A 27,564-nucleotide genomic window follows, 5' to 3' on the forward strand; every position below is an offset into this window, starting at 1 on the left:
TCTGCATCAGTCAATCCTGGCACTCAAGACCCAGAGAGGCTGCAAATGCTTCTCAATGGAGTGCCTGAGGGAGCCACCACCATGTTTGGGGATTGATGTGAAGGTAACACTTAGTGGGCATCCCCGTCTGGAAAAATAAGCGAAGCAGCTGAGCTTCACCACATATTAAAAAACCAGCCCTAACAGATATCTGGTGAAGATATCTTCACCACAGGCAAAATAGGAAAGTAAGAAAGAGGCAGGGGTGAGCAGAGACTGGCTCCTCTTCTTCCTGGGAACACAGCTACCCTACATTTCCCAGCCTCCCTTGTGGCCATTTGACTGGGCTCCAGCCAATGGAATGTGAGGAGAAGCCACGGGCCTCTTCCAGGCCTGGTGCGTAAGTCTACCCCACACAGTCCTTTGCGATTTTCCTCTCCCACTTTGGGAGCCAGTGGATGAAGAGGGTGGAACCATAGAATAGAAGGAACCCAGATACAGATCACTGTTCAGAGGAGAGCTGCCTGCCAGTCAGGAAGACCCATTTTGGACTTTATGTGAGCAAAAAATACCTTCTTTCCTTCCTTCCCTCCTTCCTTCCTTCCTTCTTTCTTTTCTCTCCTTCCTTCCTTCCTTTCTCTCTCTCTTTCTTTTCCTTCCTTTCTTCCTTCCTTTCTCCTTCCTTCCTTTCTCCCTTCCTTCCTTCCTTCCTTCCTTCCTTCCTTCCTTCCTTCCTTCCTTCCTTCCTTCCTTCCTCCCTTCCTTCTTTCGACTCACTATGTTGCCTAGGCTGGTTTCAAATTCCTGGGCTCGAGAGATCCTCCCACCTCAGCCTCCCAAAGTGCTGGGATTACAGGCGTGAACCACCATGCCTGGCCAAAAACTAGATTACTGTCATATTTGATCCATAGAGAGTTTTAGGTTTATTATAGCAGTTAGTGTTATCTTAACTAACGCAAGGTGGAAGGGTAGGACTTGCAGAGGCCCATGGCTGAGAGACCTTGATTAAGGTTGGAGGGGGAACAATATGGCAGTCTTAGACCCCAGGGGGAAAGTCCTCTCTTGTCCTGGGGTCCAGGAAAAAGAAGAGGACTGGGGGCAGAGTGGAGGCATAGGCCATCCCAGAGTGGGGAGGAGAAAGGGAAGAAGGAAAGGGGACCCCTGGGGAGGCTGAGGCACAGACTCTAGGAGGGACTCTGCAGCTCTTCTACTGGCACCTCCGGTCTCCTGAATGCCAACGCTGCTGACCACTCTCCTTCCTCTTCACCACCTCTCCACTTTGGCCCCCTTTTCCCTTCTGTATTTCCTCCCATTTTCTGCCAGTGGTAAGGAGGGCTTTACCACTTTTTTGGAGTAAGGTCAGAGAAGACCTTTAAGAAATGCCAGCTCACAGAGAGAAATAACATAAACTGGTTCAAATGTTAGCTGAAGAGAGGCAGCTGCCTTTCATATTTGTACCAACAAAGGTTAAGTAAATCAATCACCCTTCAGAGTTAGTTCTCAGGGGAGGGAAAGGAGGAGGAATTTGTGATCTGAGGCCAGCAGTCTTAGCTGAGAGTCTGGTGCATTTCAAGGGAGAGAAAACCTTTAGTTAAAAGCTATCTTAGTGGTAATCCAAAGGGAAATTGAGCCAAGTGAAGTGCAAAGTAATTTCTGACCTTGGGACAAAGGGAAGGCAAAACTACGCCAGCTCCCAGGCCTGAAGGGAACACTTAGTTGATTAATGCTGTGCCTGCAGGCTCTGTTCACTCTAATAAAATGATATTTAAAGGTGCAGGGTTTACCAAGCTGTGGTCTCTAAGGGAGCACAGAAGATTTCTAGAAAGGGTTCCAGGGCCTTCACGGTATGCTCCGTGCTTGCGCCCGCCACCCCTCTTGTCTGTAGACTGTCACTGGGTACAGTGACAGTCTGCAGTGCTGTTTTGATTCCTCAGAACCTTTTATGAAGGACAACTTCCAAAGAATTAGACCCTGGAGCTCCCTTAAATACAAGCCAATGAAAATGGCATTTTTTCCCCCTAGAAATGCTCTGACCTTAAAAGGAATATTGGAGGCAGGAGGAAACAGAGGAAGCAAGAAGAATTTCCTGGAAGGTAATTATTGTAATATAAGCATACTTCGGAGATATTGCAGGTTCCGTTCCAGACCACTGCAACAGTGAATATCTCAATCAAGTGAGTCACATGAATTTTTTGGTTCCCTAGTGCATATAAAAATTATGTCTATACTATACTAGGGTCTATTAAGTGTGCAATAGCATTATGTCTAAAAAACATTGTACATACCTTAATTTAAAAATGCTTTATTGATAAAAATGCTAATGAACATCTGAGGCTTCAGCAAGTCATAACCTTTTTGCAAGTGGAGGGTCTTGACTCATGTTGATGGCTGCTGACTGATCAGGGTGGTGGTCACTGAAGACTGAAGTGGCTGTGGCAATTTCTTAAAATAAGATGACAATGAAGTTTGCCACATTGATTGACTCTTCCTTTCATGAAAGATTTCTCTGTAGCATGTGATGCTGTTTGATAGCATTTTACCCAGAGTGGAACTTGTTTCAAAATTGGAGTCAATCTTCAGCTCTACTACTGCTTTATCAACTATGTTTATGTAATATTCTAAATCTTTTGTTGTCACTTCAACAATGTTCACAGCATCTTCACCAGGAGTAGATTTTATCTTAAGAAGCCACTTTCTTTGCTCATCCAGAAGCTACAACTCCTCATCATGAGATTTCAGCAGTTCAGTTCCATCTTCAGGCCCTATTTTTAGTTCTCTTTAGTTCTCTTGCTATTTCCACGACATCTGCAATGACTTCCTCAACTGAAGTCTTGAACCCCTCAAAGTAATCCATGAAGGTGAGAATAAACTTCTTCCAAATTCCTATTAATGTTGATATTTTGACCTTGATTGTTCTTAATGGCATCTAGAATGGTGAATCCCTTCCAGAAGGTTTTCAACTTACTTTGCCCAGATTCATCAGAGGAATCATTATCTATGGCAGCTATAGCCTTACAAAATGTATTTCTTACATCATAAGACTTGAAAGTTGAAATTATTCCTTAATCCATGGGCTTCAGAATGGATGTTGTGTTAGCAGGCATGAAAACATTCATCTCCTTGTGCGTCTCCATCAGAACTCTTGGGTGGCCAGGATTATTGTCAACGAGCAGTAATATTTTGAAAGGAATCTTTTTTTCTGAACAGTATGGCTCGATAGTGGACTTAAAATAGTTCATAAACCATATTGGAAACAGATGCGCTGTCATCCAGGCTTTGTTGCCCTATTTATAGAGCATAGGCAGAGTATATAGGGTCTCACTCTGCTGCCCAGGCTGGAGTGCAGTGGCAAAATCATAGTTCCCTACGGCCTTGAACCCTTGGTCCCAAGAAATCTTCCTGCTTTAGCCTCCAAAATAGCTGCAGCTACAGGTACACACCATCACACCTGGCTAATTTTTTTTTTTTTTAATTTTGTAGAGATGGGGTCTGGCTCTGTTGCCCAGGCTGGTCTTGAACACCTGGGCTCAAGTGATTCTCCCATCTCAGCTTCTCAAAGAGCTGGGATTACAGGCATGAGCCACTGCTCCTAGCCGCATAATTCCTTAGAGTTTTCAAAATGGTAAATGAGCATTGGCTACAACTTAAAGCCACCAGCTGCATTAGCCCCTAACATGAGAGTCAGCCTATCCTCTGAAACTTTGAAGCCAGGCATTGACTTCTCCTCTCTAGCTATGAAAGTCTTAGATGGCATTTTCTTCTTTAAAGAAGCCTGTTTTATCTACATTGAAAAGCTGTTGTTTAGTGTAGTCACCTTCATAAGTTACCTTAGCTAGATCTTCTAGATAACTTGCTGTAGTGTCTACATCAGCATTTGTTGCTGCACCTTGTACTTTTATGTTATGGAGATGACTTCTTTCCTTAAACCTAATGAACCAACATCTGCTAGCTTCTGCAGCTTCCTGACCTCTCTCAGCCTCTTCTATGGGATTGAAGAGAGTTAGGGCCTTGCTCTGAATTACGATTTGGCTCAAGGGAGTATTGTGGCTGGTTTGATCTATCCAGACCACTAAAACTTTCTATCAGGAGTAAGGCTGTTTTCTTTCTTATCATTCATGTGTTCACTGGAATAGCACTTTTAATTTTCTTCAAGAGCTTTTCCTTTGCATTCAAAACTTGGCTGTTTGGCACAAGAGGCCTAGCATTCAGCCTATCTCAGCTTTGGACATACCTTCCTCACTAAGCTTAACAGTTTCTAGCTTTTCATGTAAAGTGAGAGACATGACTCTTTCACTTGAACACTTAGAGGCTATCCTAAGTTTATTAATTGGCTTAATTTCAATGTTGTGTGTCTTAGGGAATAGGGAGGCCCAAGGAGAAGAAGAGAGATGGGGGAAAGCTGGTGGGAGCAGTCAGAACACACACATTTATCCATTGAGTTTGCCATCTTACGTGGGTGCGGTTCATGATACTACAAAACAATTACAGTAGTAGCATCAGAGATCACTGATCACAGGTCACCATAACAGGCATAATAATAATAAAAATGTTCGAAATAATATGAGAATTACCAAGATGTGACACAGAGACAGGAAGTGGCCACATGCTGTTGGAAAGATGGCACCAATAGATTTGTTTGACACAGGGTCGTCACCGACCTTCAAGTTTTTTAAAAAGTCATGTCTGCAAAGTGCAATAAAGGAAAGTACAATAAAATGAAGTATGACTGACTATAAAACTTCAGATCTAAAACTATCTGAGAACTGGTAGCAACAGTATAATGTAGAGGAAAAAGCATGAGTTCTGGAATCCTGGAGTTATGAATATATCTTTATTTCACCCTCCTTTAGGAAGAACAGATTTTTCTAGGTACACAATTTCAGGTTGAGAGGTTTGTTTTTTCTTTCTCTCAATATGGTTCCACTTCCTTCGAGCTTCCGTTATTACTCTTGGGGATTATACAATAAATCTATGCCATTATTTTGCAGGTGATTTCTCTTTTCTGTCTTACTGGTTATAAGATCTCTTTGACTCTATTATTTTTCAGTTTTTCTGAAATGTGTCTAGTAACGAATTTAGTTTTGCTTATTCTGCTTGGTATATGTTGTATCCTCTATCTATGGACTCATGTTTCTCCTCTGAGAAATTCTCTTCAAATATTCACTGTCTTCTCTCCTTCTGGAATTCTGATTAGATGTTTATTCAATTTCTCATTCTATCTTCCATTATTGCTTCATGCCTTTACGTATTCTGTTAGTCTTAATAATTTCTTCAGATTTCTCTTCGGGTTTACTAATTTTCTCTTCAGCTATATTTAATCTTCTACTTAAACTCTTTATTATGTTTTAAAATTCAAAAATTATTTCATCATTTACTAGCTTTGTGGCCTTGGACAAGTGTCTCCACCTCTGTGTGCTATTTTTCTCACCTGTGGAATAGGATAATAATTATCCTTACATGATTGTGATGGAAATTAAGTATGTTGATACACAAAGCCAGTGATCCATGCTATTATAATAAATGCCCAATAAACATAAGATTCTTACAAATTCCAGAGGTTGGCCGGGCACAGTGGCTCACACCTGTAATCCCAGCACTTTGGGAGGCCGAAGCAGGTAGATCACTTGAGGTCAGGAGTTCAAGACCACCCTGGCCAACATGACAAAACCCCATCTCTACTAAAAATACAAAAATTAGCTGGGCATGATGGTGCACGCCTGTAGTCCCAGCTACTTGGGAGGCTGGGGTGGGAGAATCGCTTGAACCCAGGAGGTAGAGATTGCAGTGAGCCGAGACTGCACTACTGCACTCCAGCCTGGGTGACAGAGTGAGACTCTGTCTCAAAAAACAAACAAACAAAAACTTCCAGAGGTCATTCTGATGATTGTATGAACCTCCGTGATTCTGATTCTAACTCATCTCAGAGAACTAGGAGTCTTCTCTCAGAATCACCTGGAACAGACTTCACAAACACTTCAGAAAGCCTTTATCATATCTCACAACTCATAAAGAAGTAGACGTTTTCTGTTGGTTCTAACCCCATTATGCTACAACAGGATCTCATGTCTTTGTGTCTTCTTATCCTCAAAAGGAAGATGACCACGGCCCCTCTGTTCCCTCGCCTGTGTGCCAAATGGATCCACAGCTAGAGACAAGCTCCTTCCCTTTGAACGGTGGGAAGCAGGCCAAGATGTTTTAAAGACAGATGGCATCAGATGCAGAGAAGCAAGGTTAGGCTTGATTCATCTAAACCTGTCCCCTTCAGAGCCCCCTCCCACACCCTTCCCCTGACAACTGAGTGATAAAATTCTGTCCCTGGATGAAGTCAACAATCCTTATCATGACAGAAAACTGCAAATATTTGGTGTTTTTCCATTGCACACAGGGCTTAAGGGAACATAGGGAATCTCAAAACAGAAATGTGTTTGGGGGTGTGTGTATGTGTGTGTGTGTTCAATCCTTTCTTCAAAATATTTCAGCTCCTCTATTTTTAGAAGATGATGACATTCTCCCAGCATTTCAACCAGGTTTTCAGAAGTCACGAGGCTCAGTCCTGCACGCACACAATCACATCTGCCTATACAAAGACACAGAGAAACATACATAGCTACTCACACATAATTCCATACACGTTTAAATGCCCAGGCATCTAGAAAATGACCCTCACATATGCCCGTCTACACACATACATGTATACCTGCATCTGGGTTCACAACAGACCACACCCTAACACATACATACACATACACACCACACTCTAACACATAATGTGAATAAATAGAAACTAGTAAATAGAGCTATTTCTGCAGTGCCCCTGGCATATACTCACATGAAGTGCATGTGCAAAGTACATCTGTGTGTGGTTAATTCACCATCAGATTTTAGGGTAGTAAAGGCAATCACCTATTTTCAGGGCATGTCAGAAATCTAGCTGAATTCCTAAACCTGCTAGATTCCCCATCTCCTTCTTCTGTCCTTGGCCCTCAAGTGAAATGACCTAACTTCAAATGGACTCAGGGGCTGGGGGGTTATTCCAGCTCAGAACAGGAGATCCTTGAACATGGACCCTTGAAAGGGCCCATGGAGGCTAGGCAATGTCTACTATGAAAAGAGAAATAAATAGCTCCACCATTGGAAACAAGTGTCCAGAAAGCTGCAAGTTTATCCTGTACTATAGCCAATGAACAACCAGGTGGTGATCACATCCCCGGGGAAGCGGGGAGGGCGATGCAGGCACACATGGGGTCCTGTTGTAGGAGAGAGACCAGAGGGCAGGAAGGGAGGAAAATCTGAATCCATAAGCTTTCTCTTTATGCAAACCAGACTCATAAGTTTTATTTATTTCAGCTGGAACTCGGAGCACAGCTGCCTTATTTACTTACCTACTGGCTGCATTTCTGAGAACCAGTTTTATTCCTGTTCAAAGGAAGCCAGGCAGAGTTGGGAAAATATTTTCCTAGCCAGCTCCTTAGCACCACTGTCTGAGGGAAACCATCTGGCCAAGATGCCCTTCAAGTGAGTAAATGCAGTATTGCCCTCTCCCTGCACAGGGGAGGGGGCATGCACCAGACAGGGAAAATGGCAGGCTCCTGGGGTGGGCTGAAGCTGTGGTTCTTCCCACTGACCCTCCTGGGCCCCTGGAGTCCAGTGATGTGCTGGTAAAGGTTTAACAATCAGCTGTCTGGGAGGTAGGGGTGGGGCATTGCCTTGCAGTGTTTGCTGATTTCCATGGCCTGTTTGGAACTACCAAAGTGAAGTCACTGAGTGTGGGGTTAGGAGGAGATGCCCAGGAGTACCCCATTTCAGAGTATTTCTACCACGTAGATGCAGTAGGGGGTATGTAACCTCAAGAGTGAAGATACTAATCAATACAGTAAAATAATTAGCAAGTGATGAGTTTTGAGTACTTATTACTTTTATTTTTAATGTGATATAATTTTAAGTTTATATAATTTATTTTCAAATGACATATGCCTTTAACAACTGGCTCTCAGAGTTCTGGAAAATTTCACTGTCAGTTCTTGCAAGGCAGGATGGGCTGGCTCCGGAGCACTGCTGCTGGAGTCCCTCTTTTACTTAGAGTCAGAGAATAAATATGCCAGTGTTAAGATCACTCCCTTTAGAAGCTCAGGGCGTATCATGGGAGATTTAGTGAGGGCTCTACTTCCTTAAGGAGATTTTGTCTTCAGAAGGCAGAATAGACACCTGCTTGGGAAAGAACAGAGGTTGAAAAACACCATGTATGGGTTTTTTTTTTTTTTTTTTTCGGTTCTACCCACCATGTGTACTTGACCAAGACAGCACAGCACACAAGTTGCAGGTTCTGCCTTGCCTGGGCAGCTCCTGACTGTATATGCTTCAGCTTATAGAGTCAAAACAACTTGGCAACATCTAGCTTTATTCCTCCGGGACCCTTGTGCTCTAAGGATAGTTCTCTGGCTGCAGTACCCTGGCATTTTCCAGGTCTCAAGCTCTAGCCTCTTTACCAGTTTAGCAGGATGGTGCTAGTGGGTCTGTGGCCATAAGATTTTCCATTATTTCCTACAGCTTGTCTAGAGGAGTTGGGATATTTCTTGTCTCCCAGAACTCTCTCATGGGAAAAATTCTTACATGAGAGACAGAACACTTTACCCAACTGGAGTCAGGGAAAGTTACACATCTGTCCTGACCTCTGAGCTTCTGAAAAATCACTGAGCTTTATCAAAAGCACACAGGTCCAGAAGTGGAAATTTATAAGACAAAAGAAAATAGGAAATGAAAGTTGGAGGGGAAACCCTCTTAGTGTTGTTGCAATGCCAAGAACTGGGGGAGGGTTTACGGCTCTAGTAGTTTGCTGAAGGATGAACAGGACATGCCAGGGACCAGAGGGTCAGAACAACAGATAATCAGAAATGAAGAGGTCAATGGGTGGGAAAGTAGGAGTGAATGGTGTTGATAGATTTGTTTCTACCATTTTAGGGTTGTTCTGTAATGGCTGCCTATAGTCACAATCACGCCCACAATTCTTCCTACTCATTAAGACCTCTGCTACCCTAGCCCTGAAATTTTCCTTCATCCCCTCCTGTCTTCACTTCCTTCCTAACCCAGTATAGATTCTATGGCCCTTCATAACCACCCCTTTGGGCATGTCCTGGTCTTCCTCCAACATACCTTCCCAGCAAAACCCTAACCTTATGTAGATCCAGCTCTCTGCTCATTCTATACCATTCCAAGAAAGCAAACGTGGCCAGAGGAAAACCGCAACCGTGTGGACTGATTCTACCCTGAATACAAGATGATGCATCTCTAACGAGGCTCAGAACTGCCTGGAAGTCCAGCTACACTTCCCTAGTCAATCCACGCCCTCAATCCCCAGCTACAGTGGACCAACAGCCCTTACTCCTATTGAGGCAGCTCCCCCACCCCCATCCCCACTTAAACATTGGATCGATCCCATCTCCTGTCTACTTGGGACCTTTGGTCCTGCTGATATCCCCTCTCCCTCTTGAAACATCACTTATTTCCTTTCTACTGAATCAAAACTCCAAATTTCTTATGACATTTAAACTTCTCCTCTCTCTCAGCCTTTGTCTGCATCAGGCCAGGAGCTGCAGTGGGGAATAATGGATGGTGATGAACTTCATCTGTTTCCCTGCTGTGTACATCTCCTCCTCCTCCCCTTCTCACTAGGCTGCCTCTTGTCCTCTGGGGCTGCTGCTCTGGGAGAGGGAGGAGATGCAAAGAGCAGGAAAGGTCTTGCTCGGCTGGTACTGTTGTAGGATAGCACAGAATTTTCTGGCCTTGGCAGGTGTTTAAAGCTGACTTTCTTCTCTTGGGTCTTACATAGGTTTCTTACACAGGGGTTGGGCTTCTCTGCTGGCAGCTTCCTTGATACTGACCCTGCCTTTCCTCCAGCTCTCCATTCATCACCCCTCCCTTAGCGCCTATGCATCCTTTAGTCCACACCATACAGACTCTTGTGGGGACCCCATTGTTCCTCCAGGCAGGCTATATGAACAGCATCCCCAGGCCACCATCCCTTGCTGGGCTCTCATCAGCATTTTGGTCCTACTGTCATGGGATTACGGCTACTTCCCAACACAACAGTCTTTACTTGGCTATGCCCAGGCAGATAACCAGCCACAGGTTCTTGCCTTCATTACCTTTGCAGGCGTGGGTCCAGCTCCAGTCGCTTATTTCTATTATGGTCGCCAAGTGGTTCCTGAAAGCCCCAATCACTTGTTTTCATGTGAAGGGCAGGCTTCTTCCTCAGAACATTTCTCCATCTTTCTCCAAGGAAATCAAGTTCTGTCTCTCTCCACTTACTCCCCACTTTCCATCTCAATCTTTAACACCTGTAAGTGCTTGATGTGCTCAGGGTTGTAAAGTGGGTTCTTCAATATCTCAGTTGTGTGTCCCTTGTAGATGGTTTAGCCCTCACTCTGGAATGTGGGCTCATTTTGCACCTATCAGTTTGCGCCAAGCCTTTGGGCTCTCCTTCAAAACTGAGGAAGAAAGAGTTGTGTATTAGCATCTTGTTTCACACATCCCTATCCACCCATGGCTATCTCCACAACCCCCAAATTTGGTTGGCTTCTTCACCAAATACTTCTCTCTAGGAATGCTCCTCCAGCACCCCTGACTCATTGAGCCCAGGCTGGAGTGTAGTGGCGTGATCTTGGCTCACTGCAGCCTCTGCCTCCCGGGTTCAAGCCATTGTCCTGCCTCAGCTTCCTGAGTAGCTGGAATTACAGGTGTGCACCACCACGCCTGGCTAATTTTTGTATTTTTAGTAGAGATGGGGTTTCACCATGTTGGCCTGGCTGGTCTTGAACTCCTGACCTCACACAATCCACCCGCCTCGGCCTCCTAAGTGCTGGAATTACAGGTGTGAGCCACTGTCCCCAGCCCTCTTCCTGACTTTAAAGTTTTCGTTGTAATTTTCTTTTCTTCTCTTCCTCTGTTTTTTTTTTAAATTAATATTTTATTTTATGATTTGTTTATGTAATAGCCAGCATGAAGGGTGGGTGCAGGGATGATGGCAGGAGGAAGAGGCCACACTGCACAGCGGAATGACAGACCTCTCCCTGCTGTCCTCCTGAGCCGCCCTGCAGTCCCACTCAGAGCTTTCTGCAGTAGGCAATCGTCTTGCTTGGGGGAAGCCAGCATCTTTTGAGCATGCTCTCTGCCATCTTTGGTGTAAGGGTTTTACTCTTCATATATGTCATCTTGGTGTTATAAAATCCAGAATGCTTTTCCTCTGAGTATCACGTCCATGTTCTGGAAGATAGAGGACGGGATGGAGTCTGTGTCAGAAAAGCACAAGCTTCCCCCATAAATTCCCAGCACTCTTCTGCTTGTGTTTCATTCACCAGAGCTGTGTGTGCATCCCTAGCTCTAAGGGAGTCTAGGAAAGTGAGAATAATAGAAAACTCCCTAACTTTGTCAAAGCCTTCCATTTTGTTTGTTTTGAGATAATCTCAAATGTATAGTGAAGTTGCAAGTATAGTACAAAAACCTTTATTCCCCCTGAACTGCTGAGAGTAAGTCACCAGCCAATGCCCCAGCACTCCTGAAAAATTTAATGTGTATGTCCTACAAACAATGGATTTGTTTGTAGGACATGCTGCATGTTGCATAGCTGCATAGCTGCAATACAACCATGGGAATCAGGAAATTAACACTGGTATAGTATTGCCTGTTAATCCCTGGAGCCCATTCCTGTTTTGCCATTTGTCCCAAGGATCTCCTTTATAGCAAAAGTATCCAGTTTGGAATTCTGTGTAGCATTTGGTTGCCATGTCTCTTTGGTCTCTTATGTCTGGAACAGTTCCTCAGTCTTTCCTTGACATGACCTTGACAATTTTAGATTAGAGGCCAGTTATTTTATATAATAGATCTCTATTGGTGTGGGTTTGTTTGTTTTCGTGTGATTAGATTCAGGTTTTGCCTCTTTGGAAAGAAGATCACAGGAGTGATCTGGGTTCCCACTGCATCCTAGCAGGTGGAGCTCAATTCCAGTTTGTCCTATTACTGAAGATGTTTGCTTTGATTACTTAAACTGGTGTCTGCTGGGCTTCTCACTGTGACATTTTCCTTTTCCCTTTGTAACTAAAAAGAATCTTGCAGGGCAGTACTTCAAAACTATTCAGATATCCCACTTCTCATCAACCATGGAATTTACTCATTTATTTATTTAGGTTAGTTGAGACCAAGGGTCAGCTGTTTTGTGTAAAGGATCAGATAATAAATATTTTAGGTTTTGTGGTCCAGGGGGCAAAATCAAGGATAGTATATAGGTACTTTTATAATGAGAAATTAAAAATTTTTGCAAAATTGTCACTGATGAAATTAAAACTGTAATAATTATTGAGTAAATTTTTTTAATGCAGGTCTACTAATAAGAGAGGAATTCTTTTGTGAGGGTAAGATTTGACTTAATTTGGGTTCAAAGTGAGTGTTCCCTATTATCAAATTGATTGTAAATGTTCCCCTATAAAAACCATTCTTGGCCAGGTGCAGTGGCTCACGCCTGTGATCCCAGCACTTTGGGAGGCCGAGATGGGGCGGATTGCTTGAGCTCACGAGTTCAAGACAAGCCTGGCCAACATGGTGAAACCCTGTCTCTACTAAAAATACAAAAATTAGCTGGGCGTGGTGGTGCGTGCCTGTAGTGCCAGCTACTCGGGAGGCTGAGGCAGGAGAATCACTTGAACCCAGGAGGTGGAGGTTGCAGTGAGCCGAGATTGCACCACTGCACTCCAGCCTGGCGACAGAGCAAGACACTATCTCAAAAAAAAAAAAAAAAAAAGGGAATTAGCCAGGAGTGTTGGTGCACACCTGTAATCCCAGCTACTCGGGAGGCTGAGGCAGGAGAATTGCTTGAACCTGGGAGGCAGAGGTTGCAGTGAGCCGAGATCGTGCCATTGCACTCCAACCTGGGCAACAAGAGTGAAACTCCATTTCAAAAAAAAAAAAAAAAAAGAAAAAAGAAAAGAAAAGACAAAATGCTTTCTTCTTCAATCTATTCCCCCTGTAAGTAACCAATTTCCCATCCCTGTTGCTGCCCCTGTGCCATGTTGATGGCCCCCTCATCTGGCTTGGGCTCTGATATCCTCCAGTGGGCCACCCTTGTATGTGGACATCTTGTCTCCCCGTGCAGGCTCTGTAAAAGGTGCAAGCCACCCTTTTCCATCCATGTAGATGCCTCAGCATCTCACAGCCCATGACAATCTACTCTCCCCTGTGTGAATGGCCCTGCCCTGCTCAGGCTCTGACTCCCCATCACAAGCCATCCCTCTCTGTGGATGCCAACTTTCCTCTGCCTTACCTAATGGCTTCGGGAAGGGGAAGGTTACTTTTTTTTTTTTTTTTTTTTTTTTTGAGGCAGAGTCTAGCTCTGTCACCCAGGCTGGAGTGCAGTGGTGTGATCTCGGCTCACTGCAACCTCCGCCTCCTGAGTTCAAGAGATTCTCATGCCTCAGCCTCCCGAGTAGCTGGGACTACAGGTACCCATCACCAAACCCAGATAATTTTTTTTTTTTTGTATTTTTAGTAGAGACGGGGTTTCACCGTGTTAGCGAGGATGGTCTCGCTCTCCTGACCTTGTGATCCACCCGCCTCGGCCCCCCAAAGTGCTGGAATTACAGGCGTGAGCCACCGCGCCCGGCCAGGGAAAGGCTACTTTTAAAAATCTTTATAATTTAGCTGGGCGTGGTGGCTCATGCCTGTAATCCCAGCACTCTGGGAGGCCGAGGCGGGCAGATCACAAGGTCAGGAGTTCGAGACCAGCCTGGCCAGCATGGTGAAACCCCGTCTCTACTGAAAATACAAAAAATTAGCCGGGCATGGTGGCGCCTGCCTGTAGTCCCAGCTACTCCGGAGGCTGAGGCAGGAGAATTGCTTGAACCCAGCAGGCGGAGGTTGCAGTGAGCCAAGATCGCGTCAATGCCCTCTAGCCTGGGTGACAGAGTGAGACTCCGTCTCAAAAAAAAAAATTATATTTTGAAATACTCAGATTTTTTTTTAAGGAATAATAATTGCTAATGCTCTTGGTGCTTACTAGGTACTAGGCATTGTAGACACTTTAAACTGAGCTTGTGTAATCTTCACAGCCTCTGTAGGAAGTTGTATAATTATAATCTCTATTCATAGGTGTGGAAATTGAGGCAGAGAGAAGTTTAGTGACTTGTCCAAGGTCACACAGTTCATGAGTGATGGAACCAGGACTTGGATTCTTTTTGAGCTTTGTCCATATTTCAATGTATAGCTTTAGTTTATTCTTTTATATTGCTGTACAGTATAATATTGTATGAATATACCTCAATGTAATTATATTCTTATTAGTGAACTTTTAGTTTTACAATTTTTCACTATTAAAAGAATTTGAAATAAACTTTTTTTGTCTCTTTATGCAACTGTATGATTTTCTTTAAAATATGTATCTAACAGAAGAATAAGTTATGTGCATCTTCAACTTTATTAGATAGAGCCAAATTTCTCTTCCAAAATGATTTTACCAGTTTACATTCCAACCAGGAGTGAATGAGTTCATATTTTTTCACTTTCTTCCCAGTGTCCAGTACTGTCAGACTTTAAAAAATTTTTCAGTATGATGGGTATACTCATTAATTTTCTGAGTTACATGCCCCTGATTAATAGTAAAGTTAAGAATCTTTTTGCAAATATACAGGATTTGGGGTTTTCTCTTTTGTGAATTACTTGTTTATATAATTTGTCAGTTTGTCTACTGGGTCTATGCTTTTCTTACTGATTCTGAATAGGTCTTTTTTTTTTTTTTTTTTTTCTGAGATGGAGTCTCGCTCTGTTTCCCAGGCTGGAGTGCAGTGGCATGATCTTGGCTTACTGCATCCTCCACCTCCCGGGTTCATGCCATTCTCCTGCCTCAGCCTCCCGAATAGCTGGGACTACAGGCAGGTGCCACCATGCCCAGCTAATTTTTTTGTATTTTTAGTAGAGATGGGGTTTCACCGTGTTAGCCAGGATGATCTCAATCTCCTGACTTCGTGATCCGCCTGCCTCAGCCTCCCAAAGTGCTGGGATTACAGGCGTGAGCCACCACACCTGGCCGATTCTGAATAGTTTTTTATATAATATGAGTACAAATCTTTTATTCAGTTGTAAATAATTTTCCCTCTTATGTGGCTTGTCTTTTCATTTAGTAGATGGTAATTTGTTGTACAGAAGATTATAATTTTAAGTCAATCAAATTGATTGCTCTTTTGTAGCTTACATTTTCAATATTTTTTAAAAATTTATTCCCTACACAAAAGGCATAAAGATAAATCTATATTTTCTTCTAAAAGTTTTAAAGTTTTGCTTTTGAAACATTTAGGTGTCTACTTCACCTGAAATTTATTTTTGTGAATGTTATGAGGTAGATATCTAATTTTATTTTTTTCCATATGGATACCCAATTGTCGCTGCCTCATTTATTTAGAAGTCCATCCTTTCCCCGTTGGTTTAAGAATGCCATCTCTGTTGTTTATCAGGTTTCCACGTATATGTGGCTCTGTTTCTGGGTTCTCTAATCTGTTCTGCTTGATTGTCTATCCCTGTATGAATACCACACTCTTAACTACAATGGTTTTATAACAAGTCTTCATATTTGATAGGGCAAAACTCCCTTCCTCTGTCATAGCTGGCTTTGGCTGTTTGCATTTCCGTATTATTCTATAATCAGCTTGTCAAGCTTTTTGTTTCTTAGGAGTCTCGCTGTCATCCAGGCTGGAGTGCAATGGTGCAATCTCAGCTCACTGCAACCTCTACCTCCCTGGTTCAAGCGATTCTCCTGCCTCAGTTTCCCAAGTAGCTGGGGCTACAGGCATCCACCACCATGCCCAGCTAATTTTTGTATTTTTTAGTAGAGATGGGGTTTCACTATATGTTCACCAGGCTGGTCTGGAACTCGTGATCTCAAGTGATCCAACCACCTCGGGCCTCCCAAAGTGCTGGGATTACAGGTGTGAGCCAACACGCCCGTCCTGTTTCTTAGCTTCTTACAACTGTGTTGAAGTATAATTGATGGACAAAAACTGCACATTTTAACATGCACAATTTGATAAGTTTTGACATTAATATATATCTATAAAATCATAAGCACAATCATGTAAATGACCATACCTCTGGCAGACAGACTATAAAAGGGCCCCCAGTTGTCCCCCCTCCACCTGGTATCCATGCCCTGTGAACCCCATTGTGTGGGCAGGACCCACAGCTTTTTTCTAACCAAAAGAATAAATCGCTGCTGTGATTGTTTTATGTAAGAGTGCAATTTCCATCTTGCCAGTAGACTCTCTCCCTTGCTGCCTTTGATGAAGCAAGCTGCATGCTGTGAGCTGCCCTATGGGGATGCCCACATGGCAAAGAAGTGAGCGTGGCCCCTGGCCAATAGCCAGTGAGAAACTGAGGCTCTCAGTCCAATAACCCATAAGGAACTGCACCCTGCCAATCATCATGTGACCTTAGAAGCAGATCCTTCCCCAGGAAAGCGCTGAGATGAGTCTGCAGCCTTGTGAGGAACCCTAGAGCAGAGCACCCAGCTAAGCCATGCCTAGATTGCTGACCCCTAGTAATTGTGAGATGACAATTGTGTGTTGTTTTAAACAAATTTGTAGTAATCTGTTATGCAGCAATAAAAAACTAGTACAATATCCATTATTCCCAAAAGTTTTATTATGCCTCTTTGTAATCCACCACACCTTTTCCTCCCCAACTCCATCTCCAGGCAACTACTTGTCTGTTTTCTGCTACTATAATTTAATCATCTGGAATTTTACATAAATGGACTCAAACAGTATTTACTTTTTAAAAAAATTAATTTTACTTTATGTTCCAGATACATGTGCAGAATGTGCAGGTTTGTTACATAGGTATACATGTGCCATGGTGGTTTGCTGCACCCATCAACCCATCATCTAGGTTTTAAGCTGACATGCATTAGGTATTTGTCCTAATGCTCTCCCTCCCCTTGGCCCCCACCCCCCGACAGGCCCCAGTGTGTGTTTTTCCCCTCCCTGTATCCATGTGTTCTCATTGTTCAACTCCCACTTATGAATGAGAACATGCGGTGCTTGGTTTTCTGTTCCTGTGTTAGTTTGCTGAGAATGATGGCTTCCAGCTTCATCCATGTCCCTGCAAAGGACATGAACTCATCCTTTTTACGGCTGCATAGTATTCCATGGTGTATATGTGCCATGTTTTCTTTATCCAGTCTATCATTGATGGGCATTTGGGTTGGTTCCAAGTCTTTGCTGTTGTAAATAGTGCTGCAATAAACATACGTGTGCATGTGTCTTTACAGTAGAATGATTTATAATCTTTTGGGTATATAGCCAGTAATGGGATGGCTGGGTCAAATGGTATTTCTGGTTCTAGGGTGTGTGGTAGTATCTCTTTGTGATTTTAAATGCATTCGCCTATTGGCTGATGATACTGAGCATCTTCTCATGTGCTTATTTGCCATCCATACATCTTCTTTGGTGAACTGTCTCTTCAAATCTTTTCCCATCTTTTAATTGAGTTGTTTGTCTTCTTATTGAGTTTTAAGGCTTCTTTATACTTTCTAGATACAAGTCTTTTGTTTAATATATGTTTTGCAAATCTTTTCTCCCAGTCTACGGCTTGCTTTTTATTTTTGTAACAATATCATTCCAAGAGCAGAAATTTTAAATTTTCCTCTTAACAGAATAATGCTCCACCCTCAAAGATTTCTACAACCTAATCTCTGGGACTTGTGAATATATTACCTTTCATGGCAAAGAGGAATTAAGGTTGCAGATGGAATTAAGATTGTTAATCTGCTGACCTTAAAATAGAAAGATTATCCTGGATGATCTGGGTGGGCCGAAAGTAGTCACAAATGTCCTGAAAAACAAAAGAAGAAGGAGGAAGAGGAGGTCAGAATGATGCAATATGAGAAGGGCTCAACTAGCCATTGTTGGCTTTGAAGAGGAAGGAAGAGGGTCACAGCCAAGGAATGTACGAAGCCTATAGAAACTGGAAAAGGCAAGGACATAGATTCTCCCCTACAGCCTCCAGAAAGGAATTTGGCCTTGCTAACACCTTGACTTTTAGTCCAGGGAGATATATGTCAGACTTCTGACCTACAGACTTGTAAGATAATAAATTTATGAGGTTTTTAAAAGCCATTACGTTTATATAATTTGTGACAACATCAATAGGCGACTAATACAATTTCAATGATGTCCAATATATTGATCTTTAAATTAATTTTTTTATGTTTATTCGTTTATTTTTTAGAGACAAGGTCTCACTCTGTCACCCAGGCTGGAGTGCAATGGTGTGATCATAGCTCACTGTGACCTCAAACTCCTGGGCTCAAGAGATTCTCCCACCTCAGCCTCCTAAGTACCAGGACTATAGGTGTGACCATCACACCTGGCTAATTGTGTGTGTGTGTGTGTGTGTGTGTGTGTGTGTGTGTGTGTGTGTGTGTGTGTATAGGCATGGGGTCTCAACATGTTGCCCAGGATAGGATTGAACTCCTAGTCTCAAGCAATTCTCCCACTTTGGTTTCCCAAAATGCTGAGATTACAGGTGTGAGCCACCATGCCCGACCCAAGTTTTCCTCTTTATAGTTTGTGCTGCTTCTGCTTGCTTAAGCTAAGGTCACTAAGATTTTCTCCTTTGTTTTCTTCTACAAGTTTATATATTAGCTATTATATTTAGGTCTATGACCCACTTTGAGTTAATTCTGTATATGATATGAAGTAATTTTTTTTTTGCATTTAGTTATCCAATGGTTCCAGCACCATTTGTTGAAAAGATTCCTTTTCCTCATTCAGTCATTAGGCGCCTTTTTTGAAAATCAATTGACTGTATATATGGCTCTATTTCTGGGTTCTGTTCCATTGATTTATATGCCTGTCTTTATGCAAATACTACCCAGTCTTGCTTATTGTAGCTTTATAATTAATCTTGAAATTAGGTAGTATAAGTCTTCCTTGTTCTTATTTTTCCTATTTTGACTAGTCTAGGTCTTTTCCCTTTACATACAAATATCTACAAAAAGACCACTGGGATTTTGATTGGGATTGTGTAATATTGTAGGTCAATATGGGAAGAAATGATATCTTAACAATATTGACTCTTTGGATCCAGGAACATGAAATATTTCTCCATTTGTTTAGGCCTTCTTTGAGCTCTCTCAGCAATGTTTTATACTTTTCAGTGTAAAAGTCTTGCACATCTTTTTTCAAATTTAATCTATTTTCTATTTTTGATGCTGTTAAAATGGTACTTAAAACATTTCAATGTCCAGTTGTTTATTGCTAGTATATACAAATACACTTGATTTTACCTTCTATCAAGTAATCTTGTTAAACTCACACAAAAGTTCTAGTAGTCTTTTTTGTAGATTCCCTAGGATTTTCTACATAATCTGAAAATACAGAGAGTTTTACTACCACTACCTTCTTTCCAATTTGTATGCCTCTTTTCGTTTTTCTAGTCTTATAGCATTGGTTAAGACCAAATTGTTGAATTTATCACCATAAAGTTGTCATAATATTCCCTTATTGCCATTTTAAGGTCTGTAGGTTCTATGATGCTGCCTTCTTCTTCCTCACTCTTGATGTTGATCATTTGTGTCTTCTCTATTTTTTTCCCTAATTAATCTGGCTAGAGATTCAACTATTTTATTCATTTTCTCCAGGAATTAGCTTTTGGGTCCATTAGTTTTTTTCTATTTTTAAAAGTTTAATTATTTTGTGCTCTTATCTTTATTTCCTTTCTTTGGCTTTAATTTGTGCTTTTTCCTAATTCTCCAAGGTAGAAGCTGAGGTCACTGAAAATAAATCTGATATTACCTCTCTAATATTAATGTTTAATGCTACAAATTTTCCTCTAAACGCTACTCTAGCTACAGCCCATGTAATTGTATATGTCATGTTTAGTTTAGATTAAAGTATTTTCTAATTTCCCCTGTGAGTTTTTCTTTGACATATGGCTTTTTTGAAAGTGTGTTGCTTCAAACTATACTACAAGGCTACAGTAATCAAAACAGCATGGTACTGGTACCAAAACAGAGATATAGATCAATGGAACAGAACAGAGCCCTCAGAAATAACGCCACATATCTACAACTATCTGATCTTTGACAAACCTGAGAAAAACAAGCAATGGGGAAAGGATTCCCTATTTAATAAATGGTGCTGGGAAAACTGGCTACCCGTATGTAGAAAGCTGAAACTGGATCCCTTCCTTACACCTTATACAAAAATCAATTCAAGATGGATTAAAGACTTAAATGTTAGACCTAAAACCATAAAAACCCTAGAAGAAAACCTAGGCATTACCATTCAGGACATAGGCATGGGCAAGGACTTCACGTCTAAAACACCAAAAGCAATGGCAACAAAAGCCAAAATTGACAAATGGGATCTAATTAAACTAAAGAGCTTCTGCAAAGCAAAAGAAACCATCATCAGAGTGAACAGGCAACCCACAAAATGGGAGAAAATTTTTGCAACCTACTCATCTGACAAAGGGCTAATATCCAGAATCTACAATGAACTCAAAGCAATTTACAAGAAAAAAATAAACAACCCCATCAAAAAGTGGGCAAAGGACATGAACAGACACTTCTCAAAAGAAGACATTTATGCAGCCAAAAAACACATGAAAAAATGCTCACCATCACTGGCCATCAGAGAAATGCAAATCAAAACCACAATGAGATATCATCTCATACCAGTTAGAATGGCAATCATTAAAAAGTCAGGAAACAACAGGTGCTGGAGAGGATGTGGAGAAATAGGAACACTTTTACACTGTTGGTGGGACTGTAAACTAGTTCAACCATTGTGGAAGTCAGTGTGGCGATTCCTCAGGGATCTAGAACTAGAAATACCATTTGACCCAGCCATCCCATTACTGGGTATATATCCAAAGGACTATAAATCATGCTGCTATAAAGACACATGCACACATATGTTTATTGCGGCACTATTCACAATAGCAAAGACTTGGAACCAACCCAAATGTCCAACAATGACAGACTGGATTAAGAAAATGTGGCACATATACATCATGGAATGCTATGCAGCCATAAAAAATGATGAGTTCATGTCCTTTGTAGGGACATGGATGAAATTGGAAATCATCATTCTCAGTAAACTATCGCAAGAACAAAAAACCAAACATCGCATATTCTCACTCATAAGTGGGAATTGAACAATGGGAACACACGGACACAAGAGGGGGAACATCATACTCTGGGGACTGTTGTGGGGTGGGGGGAGGGGGGAGGGATAGCATCGGGAGATATACCTAATGCTAGATGATGAGTTAGTGGGTGCAGCGCACCAGCATGTCACATGTATACATATGTAACTAACCTGCACATTGTGCACATGTACCCTAAAACTTAAAATATAATTTAAAAAAAAAAGTGTGTTGCTTAGTTTCCAAATACTTGGGAAGTTTTCAGGTATCTTTCTATGATTATCTAATTAAATTCTCTTGTGACCAGAGAATATATTTTGTGTAATTTGAATCATTTAAAATTTATGGTGACTCACTTTATGGCCCAGATGGTCTATCTTGGTAAATGTTCCATGAGCACTAGAAAAAAATATGCATCCTGTTGCTATATGGAAGAGTGTTCTCAAAATGTCAGTCAGGTCCAATAGGTTAGTAGGGTTCCTCAAGTGTACAATATCCTTGCTATTTTCTGTCTATTAGTTTTATCAATTATTGAAATAGAAATGATGAAATCTCCAACGGTAACTGTGGATTTGTCTATTTTTTCTTATATTTCTATCAGATTTTCCTTCATGTATTTTGAAGCTATGGTATTAGGTGCATAAATATTTTTGGATTATTACATTATGTTGAAGAATTGACACCTTTATCGTCATGAAATGATGCTAATTATTCCTAGTGATATCTCTTGTTCTGAAATCTACTTTGTCTGATATTAGCATAGTCATTACAACTTTCCTTTGATTAGTATTAGCATGGTATATCATTTCTATCCTTTTATTTTTAATCTGCCTTTGCTTTTATTTTATTTATTTAGGAGTTGAAGATCTCACTATGTTGCTCAGACTGGCCTTGAACTCCTGGGCTTAAGGGATCCTCCTGCCTCAGCCTCCTGAGTAGCAGAGACTGCAGGCTCGAGCCACTGTACCTAGTTTTGTCTTTGCCTTTATATGTAACTTGGGTATCTTAGAGACAGAAAATAATTGGGTCTTGCTTTTTTAAAAAAAAGTCCTGTCGGCCAGGTGTGGTGGCTCATGCCTGTAATCCTAACACTTTGGGAGTCCAGGGCGGGCAGATCACTTGAGGTCAGGAGTTGAAGACCAGCCTGACAAACATGGTGAAACCCCATCTCTACTAAAAATACAAAAAATTAGCCGGATATGGTGGCACACACCTGTAATCCCAGCTACTCGGGAGGCTGAGACAGGAGGATCACTGGAACCTGGGAGGCGGAGGTTGCAGTGGGCTGAGCTCTCACCACTGCACTCCAGCCTGGGAGACAGAGGGAGACTCCATCTCAAAAAAAAAAAAGTCCAATCTGACAATCTGTGCCTTTTGATTAGAGTGTTAATACTAACTACATTTTATGTGATTATTAATACAGTTGGGCTTAAATCTATTATCCTGTTAATTGTTTCCTGTTTGTTCCATCTTTTCTTAATTCCCTTTTTCCTTTTTTGTGTCTTCTTATTGGTTAATCATTTCTATGATTCTACTTTATCTTCTTTATTAGCATATTAGCAATACCTCCTTGTTTCATTTTTTTCATTTGTTGCTTTAGAGTTTATACTACACACCTTTAATTTATATAGTCTACTTTCAAGTAATATTTTACCACTTCGTGTAAAATATAAGCCCCTTACAACAGTATATTTCTATTTCTGCTCTCCCAGATTTTATGCTATTGTTGCCCTACATTTTGTTTCTATATATGTTGTAAACCTCACAATGTATTACTATTATTTTTGCTTTAAACAATAAATTATCCCTTTTAGATATTTCAATTTAACTTTTTTTATATTTATCTACATATTTACCATTTCCAGAAATTTCTTTTATTTTTTGGTATAAATCCAAATGTCCATTTGGCATCATTTTCCTTTTGTGCAAAAAAACCTTCCTTTAACGCTTCTTAAAATTCTGCTGTTGATTTTCTCTCATTGCTTTTGGACATTCTCTTTAACACTAGTTCTTAAAATTCAATTATGATGTGTCTTGATATAGTTTTCTTCATGTTTTTTTTTCCTGCTTGGGGGTTCATTGAGCTTCTTAGATCTGCAGGTTTATCGTTTTGTCACATTCAGAAAAGTTTTAATCATTCTTTCTTTAAATATTTTTTCTGCTCCCTCTTCTGGACTCTGATGGCACGTATATTAGGCAATCTGATGTTGTTCCTCAGCTTACTGACGCTTTGTTGGTTTCTTTTTTCCAGACTTCTTCTCGGCGCTGCATTTTGAATTGTTTCTACTAGTGTATCTTGAAGTTTACTAAGCTTTTCTTCTGGAGTGTCTAAGATGCTGTTCATCTCGGCCAGTATTTTTTCATCTGTAGAATTTAATTCAGTCTTTTTTTATGTTCTCCATATCTCTCCTTAACATGCTCATACATTCTTCTACCTTTGTGAACACATGGAGTATATTATCACTTTTTAATATTCTGCTCCGCATAATTCTAGCATCTGTATCATTTCTGTTTCAGTCAATTTATTTTTCTTCTTATTCTGGGTCATATTTTCTTTTTGTTTTGTTTTGTTTTGTTTTCAGAAAGAGTCTCGCTCTGTCGCCCAGGTTGGAGTGCAGTGGCACGATCTCGGCTCACTGAAACCTCCGTCTCCCGGGTTCAAGCGATTCTCCTACCTCAGCGTTCCGAGTAGCTGGGACTACAGGTGCGCACCGCCACGCCCGGCTAATTTTTGTATTTTTTTGTAGAGACGGGGTTTTGCCATGTTGCCCAGGCTTGTCTCGAATTCCTGAGCTCAAGCAGTTCGCCCGCTTTGGCCCCTCAAAGTGTTGGGACTACAGGTGTAAGCCACTGTGCCCGGCCCTGGGTCGTATTTTCCTGCCTCTTTGTATGCCTGTTAAGGTTTGATTGGATGCCAGATGTGGCTGGAAAGGTCACTCATGATTAGTTACTTCTACTAATTCTCTGACTTCATCTTCTAATCTCCACCCCTCCCAGGTCTCTGATTTTGCCACCCTGAACTTCTTGCACACTTCCTCGTTCATTTGCACATGCTGTCCCCTTTCTCTGGGGCACTCTTCCCTAGGCGGTCCCCATGGGTTTCTCCCTAACTTCATTTGGGTCTGTGTTCAAATGTCACATTACCAAAAACATTCTATCACCTTTCCTTGCTTTATTTGCCTTTAAACATTTATAACCACTTGCCAGCCATGTTACTTACTGATTGTCTATTTTTACCTCACCGCCCACCTCTGCTAAAATGTACCATGACAGCATCACCGAGAACTACTGCCATCAGCTATATAATGAAACTATTTTTAAGCAACAACAACAGCAGCAGAGAAGAGGGACCAACAGGGTCCAATGCATCAGAGGGGTCCAAACTGGTAAGCACTGAAAAATATCTATTGAATCGGACAATTAGGAGGACTAACCTCCTCAAGAGTAAGTTCCTGCAGTTTGCTGGATAAAGGGCATCAGAGCGCCGTGGGTTGGGTTGAGGACATCTTCTCCCTTACAGCCTCCTGGTTCTTCTCTCAGAAAAACTTCTCCTCCTTCCCAGCTCAATCCTATTTATTTATTTTAAAATTTATTGTGTATATTTAAGGTATACAACATGCTGTTATAGGATACACATAGTTAGTAAAATATTTACTATAGCAAAGCAAATGAACATCTCTGTCGTCTCCGCACAGTTACCCATTTTTGTTGCTTTTGTGGCAAGAGCAGCTACAATCTAGTCATTTAGTAGGAATCCCAAGTACAGTGCGATTTTATGACCTACAACCATCATGGTGTACATTAGATCTCTCCACACACCTGTTACATTGTATCCTCTGACCTACGTCTTCCCATTTCTTCCTCCCATTCCTCCCCAGCCTGCTTCCACCCCAGTAACTGCTGTTTTATTATCTGCGTCTGCACATTTGATTTTGTTTTTAGATTCCACATGTAAGTGACATCATGCACTATTTTTTTTTCCTGTCTGACGCATTTCACTCAGCATAGTGTCTTCCAGGTTAATCCATGTTGTGCCAAACGACAGGACCTTCTTTTTAAAGGCTGAATAATATTCCATTGTATACAGATGCCACAGTTTTTTAAATCCATTCCTCCATCGACACTTGGGTGGTTCCATATCTTGACTATTGTGAAGAATGCTGCGTGAAAATAGAAGTGCAGGTATTTTAAAAAGGTGGTTATTTCATTTTGGGGGGATATAGTCACAGAACAGAGATTGCTGGGTCTTCTGGTAGTTCTGTTTTTAATTTCTTTAGAAACCTCCATACTGTTTTCCATGATGGCTGCACCAAATCTACATTCCCACCAACAGTGTACAAGTGTTCCCTTTTCCCCACACCCCTATGACTTTTTGATAATAGCCATCCTATAGGGTCTAAAATAATATCTCATAGTGGTTTTGATTCACATTTTCCTGATGATTAATGATGTCAAGGACCTTTTCATATATCTGTTGGCCATTTTTATGTCTTCTTCGGAGAAATGTCTATTCAGGTCCTTTGCCCATTTTAAAATTAGTTTATTTGTTTTTCTATAATTGATTTGTATGTGTACTTTATAAATGTTGGATATTAACCCCTTATCGGATATATGGTTTGCAAAAATTTTTTCCCAGTCCATAAGTTGCTATTTTGTTTTGTTGATTGTTTCCTTTGTTGTGCAGAATCTTTTTAATTTGATGTAGCCCCATTTATTTATTTTTGCTTTTGTAGCCTGAGCTTTTGCTGCGATCTCCAAAAAATCATTGCCAGTTGGATGTGGTGGCTCACACTTATAATCCCAGCACTTTGGGATGTGAGGTGGGAGGATCACTTGAGTCCAGAGGTTCGAGACCAGCCTGGGCAACATAAGGAGATGCTGTCTCTACCAAAAAGGAAAAAGAAAATGAAAAAAATCATTGCCAAGGCAACTGTCCAGGAACTTTTCCTCCATGTTTTCTTCTAGGAGTTTTATAGTTTCAGATCTTGCATTTAGGTTTTTTTAAAAAAATCTATTTTGAGTTGATTTTTGTGTATGGTGTCAGATAAGGGTCTAGTGTCATTCTTTTGCATGTGGAAATCCAGTTTTCCTGGCATCATTTATTGAGAAGACCATCCTTGCCCCATTTTGTCCTCTTGGAGCCCTTGACAAAAATGAGTTGACCATATATGTTTGAAATTATTTCTAGGCTGTCTCTTCTGTTCCGTTGGCCTATATGTCTTTTTTTCTGTCAGTACCATACTGTTTTGTTTACTATGGTTTTGAAATATATAGTAATTTTTCACTATATTTTTAAATTTTTAACTTTTACTATATTTTAAAGTAATTGTTAAATCAAGAAATGTAACGCTTCAGAATGCCTTCAGGATGGCTAATCATTAACAGTTTTCTTTCAGAAACTGTAAGAATTTAACACAAAAAGTAGTTTGGAAGCACACATTAAGGAGTTACCGGAAGAAGTTTCTTTTCCTAAATGTGCCTATAGGACCAGATACAAATCCAGCCCTGAATAATAAATGGAAGATTTCTATTTGTATTTCTTTCTTAGAATTGTTTTGGCTATTTGGGGTCTTTTGTGGTTCTGTATGAATTGTAGGAATTTTTTTTTTCTATTTCCATGAAGAATGTCATTGGGATTTTGATAAGAATTGTGTCAAGTCTGTATATTGCTTTGGATAATAGGGACATTTTAACAATATTAATTCTTCTGATCCATGAGCACAGAATATCTTTCCATTTGTTTATATCTTTTTTAGTTTTTTTATTGATGCTTTATACTTTTCAATGTACAGATCTTTCATCTCCTTGATTATTTCTCCCAAGTATTTTATTTTATTTTATTTTATTTTATTTTATTTTTGATGATATCACAAATAAGATTGTGTTTGTTATTTCTTTTTCAGCTAGGTCATTATTTGTGTATAAAAATGCTACTAATTGGGGCCAGGCGTGGTGGCTCATGCCTGTAATCCCAGCACTTTGGGATGCCGAGGTGGGTGGATCACCTGAGGTCAGGAGTTCAAGACCGGCCTGGCCAACATGCTGAAACACCATCTCTACCAAAAAATACAAAAATTAGCCAGGCGTGGTGGTGCATGCCTGTAATCTCAGCTATTTGGGAGGCTGAGACAAGAGAATTGCATGAACCCGAGAAGCGGAGGTTCCAGTGAGCTGAGATTGCACCACTGCACTCCAGCCTGGACGACAGAGTAAGACTCTGTCTCAAAAAACAAACAAACAAACAAAAAAGCTATTGATTTTTAAAAAATGTTCGAAACACATTTATTTTCTAAATCACCTGAAGTTGACTTATATAAGATAATTTCAACAAATAAAATGTTCAATGAAAAATTGTGGTATGCAACGTACTTATGTCATTACAAGTTGAGGAACAAAGAT

The 27,564-nt window shown here is 41.0% G+C and overlaps 1 long non-coding RNA gene across 8 annotated transcripts; it reads left to right on the top strand.

Annotated features, from left to right (window-relative positions):
* The first annotated feature begins 406 nt into the window (after positions 1-406).
* Positions 407-27,516, top strand: LOC102723529 (uncharacterized). 8 transcript variants are annotated; one of them, XR_001738386.2, is made up of 8 exons: positions 407-536; positions 2,002-2,153; positions 2,634-2,837; positions 6,071-6,209; positions 7,327-7,494; positions 23,417-24,551; positions 25,169-25,347; positions 25,899-25,937. It is a non-coding gene; the product is annotated as an uncharacterized LOC102723529 (long non-coding RNA). The 8 variants fall into 8 exon arrangements; XR_001738387.2 differs by having other exon boundaries at positions 25,253-25,347; XR_922438.3 differs by having other exon boundaries at positions 23,417-25,347; positions 25,899-27,516.
* Positions 27,517-27,564: the final 48 nt, after the last annotated feature.

This window comes from Homo sapiens, chromosome 1, assembly GCF_000001405.40.
Source record: "Homo sapiens chromosome 1, GRCh38.p14 Primary Assembly".
Lineage (NCBI taxonomy): Eukaryota > Metazoa > Chordata > Mammalia > Primates > Hominidae > Homo > Homo sapiens.